We start from the raw sequence: 4,213 nt of genomic DNA, 5'->3' as shown, positions 1-4,213 counted from the left end.
TGTACGCTATGATCATAGCTTGAATGACCCTAGACAAGTCCCTCAGTTTCTCATCTGGGAAACAGAAAAAATGTCTTCCTTATTGGTTTTCTGTGAGAAAGAAATCAAATTACGTAGAGAGATATGTGGTTGATAGCACCTGACAGTCATAAGACCTGCAGATCAGTATCAATTCAATACAATTCATCAAATATTTACTAAGCCCTTACTATTTGCCTGGCATTGTATCCTGGGTGCTAGAATTACGTAGAGACGAATAAGACAGCCAGGCTTGTAGCCTGGATAAGGCAACCGGGATGGAGGCAATCCCAGTTCTTGATCTTAGGACTTTTATTTTTCATTTATTCATAATAGACTCCCGAAATCCCCTTCTGGTTGAGCTGCCCCAGTCCTTGCCCACTGAAAACCCACAAGGCTATTAGGGGGAGACAAAACTGTAAACCGAAAATTCCAAAGCAGCATGCGAACCGCAACAATGGTGGCCCCTAGATGTAGGAAGGAAATGAGGAGGGACTGAGGAACTGGAGCAGGGGAGTTCCGCGGCGGCTGGGTGGGTGAAGGCACCTGAAAGGGACGATGCGTGGGCTGAATTACAGAAAATAAACAGGAATTCCTATATAAAGAAAAAGCAGAGAAAAGGCATTTCAGATCACAGGAAGCATCACATGCAAAGCCAAAGAAACAGGAAATTGCTAGTTCCAGCTTCTGCCATTAACTGGCTCTTTTTAACCTTTCTGGAATTTCCTCAGGTCCCTCTGGGATTTCAGTCTTCACATCTCAGAAAATGAAGGTCGGGGGTGGAAAGAAGGAATCTATATTTCGGGAAGGTGCTTTCTAACTGGATACCTCCGTGCTAGAGCAAAAAAAAAGGGGTAGTTTTAAAAACGTCAAGTGTTATTTTAGGGCAGGAGCCAGAAGCCCCATGTTTTGTAACTATCAAGATGACAGGCAGAGCCTGCAGCCATTCAGAGGCTTTCTCCACTTGATCTTAGCCAAAAGACCAAGAAGCGATCAGAAATTTTCTCAACGATTAATTTACCCACTTCACCAGTACTTAGGGCATGGACTGAGCCAGGGCCTATGCTATCAAAAAGAGCACAGTCTAGCAGAGGGAGACAGACAGTAAATAAGTATATAAATAACTGGAAACCATATTGGTCTGCACGCTGCGAGTGCGTGGGGACAGGAAAACAGAAGCTCCCAGGACGTGCAGGTCACGTCCAGGTTACATGCAGGGTGAGTGACGGTTTATCTCCTAGCCAAATTAACTTCCTGTTTCCTCGTCCAGCCTCACCTTCTCCAAGAAGCCAGAAACATTTTCAGCCGCCAATTTTTCCTTGGCAGGACGACAGGGTGCCCTCTCTTCACCTGCAACCTTTCCCAGGCCTTGCCTGGGGCTCCACGCACTCACTGCAAATGCGGGTCCCAGAGCTGACCACAAGGTGCCTGCTCCCGCGACAGCTTCGCGCAGACCTGAGCGCCCAGTGCATGCAGACCTCCCGGCGTCGTGGGAGAGGGTGGCGGGAAGGCGGGCTGTGCAGCACCTCCGGGTTGGGCCGCTGGCGGCTGGGCGGGACTCAGCCTACGGTATAAGAGGGGAGCGCCACTCTCCTGGCCGCAGTACTGAAGGTGGCGCCTCGGCAGCGGGCTAGAGGCCACTGGCACTGAGCTTGCAACCAGATCCAGAGACACTGAAGAAGAGAGAAAGGTCTGAAGCGGGGCTGATTTGTTGTGGGTGCAGGGGAGAGGAAGGCTGGAACTGGTCTGGGGTCTTAAACACGTGGGGGACGTTTACAGGGTCTGGGGGAGGGATCCAGCCGCGTCGAGGGGCTGCAGCAGCTCCAGGCGCCCAAACTCAGCAGCTTCTCTCCCCCGCAGGCGCACCTCTTCCCGCCACTCCTAGCCCCAGCCTCCAAGGATGCGGCTCCTCGAGAAACTCTGTTCCTCGGCCGCAGGCAGCTCCGCGCCGAAGCCCGCCTTCGCCAAAGTGCTCACGCCGAATCGCATCCCCGAATTCTGCATCCCGCCGCGGCTGCCGGCCCCTTGCACGCTCGAGTCTCCAATCCGGGCCGCCGCCGTGCCCCGGCGCTGCGCCGCTGAAAGCGACCTGTGGCCCCGCGCGGCAGACGAGGACGCCGGCCGCACGGACTGGGACCCGCGCTCGCAGGCAGCGCTGTCACTGCCGCACCTGCCCCGTGTGCGCACCACCTACGGCTTCTGCGCGCTGCTCGAGAGCCCGCACACGCGCCGCAAGGAGTCGCTCCTGCTCGGGGGCCCGCCCGCGCCCCGGCCCCGGGCCCACAGCTGCGGCGGCGGCGGAGGCCCGGACGCCCCCCTGGGGACCCTGTGCGGCCCGCGAGGTCCGGGCCCGGCCACCCCCGCGGCCCCCGGCGGTCCCCGCCTGCCCCAGGACGCGCTCGCTGCGGGGCCCCGCCGCTGCCGCCTCCTGCGCGTCCCCGACGGGCTGCTGAGTCGCGCGCTGCGGGCTGGAAGGAGTCGCCGCCTGGCCCGCGTCCGCTCCGTCTCCAGCGGGAACGAGGACGAGGAGCGCCGCGCGGGATCCGAGTCCCCGGCCCGGGCCCCCTCCTCGAGCCCGCTGTCATCCAGGGCCCCGCTTCCTGAGCGCCTGGAGGCCAAGGGCACCGTGGCTCTGGGCCGCGCCGGCGACGCCCTGCGCCTGGCTGCTGAGTACTGTCCGGGAACCCGGCGTCTCCGCCTCCGGCTGCTCCGCGCGGAGAGCCTGTTCGGAGGCGCCCCCGGGCCCCGCGCCGTCCGCTGCCGCCTCAGCCTCGTCCTGCGGCCGCCGGGCACTGCGCGTTGGCAATGCAGCGCTGTGGTGGGGCGCAGCCGCAAGGCCTCCTTTGACCAGGACTTTTGCTTCGACGGCCTCTCGGAAGACGAGGTGCGCCGCCTGGCCGTTCGCGTCAAGGCCCGGGATGAGGGTCGCGGCCGGGATCGGGGCCGCCTGCTGGGCCAGGGTGAGCTGTCCCTGGGCGCCCTCCTGCTGCTCTGAGGGCCCAGCCCTCCCCGGGGCGCTCTGCCCTGGAGACTCCGGACACTGACAGCCGCGTGGTACAGAATAAACGTTATTTATTTTTTTATTTATGATACTGCTTTATTGACGTTTTACTTCCTCACCATCCACATTTGTCATCGTCTATTGGTAAAGAAGAAAAAGATAATGACTCCCTGTTCTGTTCACAGGACCCCCATATCTCTTTCCAGACCATTTTTGCATTCCAAGGAAAAATGGGTTGGCTTGGGACTGGGAGAGAAAGGAAGTACACCCATCTGCATTGTTTTTAATTCCTTCCGGTTTTCTATCAATGTTACAGTTTTTTTTTAATAAAGCAAGTTATTCATTCAGAGTCATGCCCAACGTTACGATTCATATACACAGCTTTACATATTGATGCGGCATAGGTAATATCCTAATTTGTGTTTGCGCACGCGCACACATCAGAGTGAGACACTTGTATTATAAGGATGTATATACCCTGGTGGGAAGAAAATTTTTTTGTAGAAAGTTTTCTTTTGGAAGTGAGTTTTTCAAAAATTGGTGAGGAAAACAGGGAAGTGGAGGACCTTCCAATAGATGGGTTATCTAGGGAATAGCTATTCCTGGGGTCTCTCTCTTCCTTACCTAGGAAATCTTAGAAATCTTTCTTGCCTCTGTAAACAAGATGATACTTTTTGTGGCATTTTCTCACCTAGCTATGTATCTAATTACACACTAATTAGCTTTGCGGTAGGATTTCCTAGATGAGTTAAAAAGTAAGTAGTCAGTTTCTTGAACACTGGGTTCTAGAGAGTGTTTTTAAAAATCCAATTGATTTTCATTTGTTAATTCAACAAATAAACCTAAGTCCACTGGAAACTGATTATACCCAAGAGAATTTGCCCTGGGCCACGGGAATCCACCATGTAGTGGAAAGCACAATGGAGTTGGAGACAAATAGAGAGTTCAATTTTTTTTCTGCCACTTTTCTGGACTAGGGCAAATCAGTTACTCTCCCTGAGCCTCATTTTCTCCATCAGTGAAAAGGGAGTAATATCTACCTCACAGGGTTTTGTGAAGATATACCTTAATATCCAAATAACCCTTGAATACATGTGAAATATGAGAGCAAACCTGAAATGCTTGCACTGTACTGTTGAATAGTGCTCAATAATGTTGCAGAGAATGAACTCCTTCAGGTCTTCTTTCTTTCCA

General features: G+C 54.3%; 1 protein-coding gene and 1 long non-coding RNA gene across 2 annotated transcripts, besides 2 other annotated features; one reads left to right on the top strand and one right to left on the bottom strand.

Annotated features, from left to right (window-relative positions):
- Positions 1-308: 308 nt before the first annotated feature.
- Positions 309-1,490, bottom strand: LOC124903502 (uncharacterized). Its single transcript, XR_007064669.1, has 2 exons — positions 731-1,490; positions 309-613 (listed from the first exon to the last, which is right to left on the bottom strand). It is a non-coding gene; the product is annotated as an uncharacterized LOC124903502 (long non-coding RNA).
- Positions 968-1,567: an enhancer, noted in NCBI's record as "H3K27ac-H3K4me1 hESC enhancer chr15:62457535-62458134 (GRCh37/hg19 assembly coordinates)". NCBI's record gives its function as "activates a minimal SCP1, AML or CMV promoter by ChIP-STARR-seq in primed H9 embryonic stem cells {active_cell/tissue: H9 hESC(primed)}" and the evidence as "EXISTENCE:reporter gene assay evidence [ECO:0000049][PMID:30033119]".
- Positions 1,568-2,167: an enhancer, noted in NCBI's record as "H3K27ac-H3K4me1 hESC enhancer chr15:62456935-62457534 (GRCh37/hg19 assembly coordinates)". NCBI's record gives its function as "activates a minimal SCP1, AML or CMV promoter by ChIP-STARR-seq in primed H9 embryonic stem cells {active_cell/tissue: H9 hESC(primed)}" and the evidence as "EXISTENCE:reporter gene assay evidence [ECO:0000049][PMID:30033119]".
- On the top strand, positions 1,618-3,368 carry C2CD4B (C2 calcium dependent domain containing 4B). Its single transcript, NM_001007595.3, has 2 exons — positions 1,618-1,708; positions 1,879-3,368. The coding sequence occupies exon 2, from the start codon at positions 1,919-1,921 to the stop codon at positions 3,011-3,013; it is 1,095 nt and encodes a 364-aa protein (NP_001007596.2). The 5' UTR covers positions 1,618-1,708; positions 1,879-1,918; the 3' UTR covers positions 3,014-3,368.
- The last annotated feature ends 845 nt before the right edge of the window (positions 3,369-4,213 follow it).

This window comes from Homo sapiens, chromosome 15, assembly GCF_000001405.40.
Source record: "Homo sapiens chromosome 15, GRCh38.p14 Primary Assembly".
Taxonomy (NCBI): Eukaryota; Metazoa; Chordata; class Mammalia; order Primates; family Hominidae; genus Homo; species Homo sapiens.
This window is presented reverse-complemented; position numbering and strand designations above follow the sequence as displayed.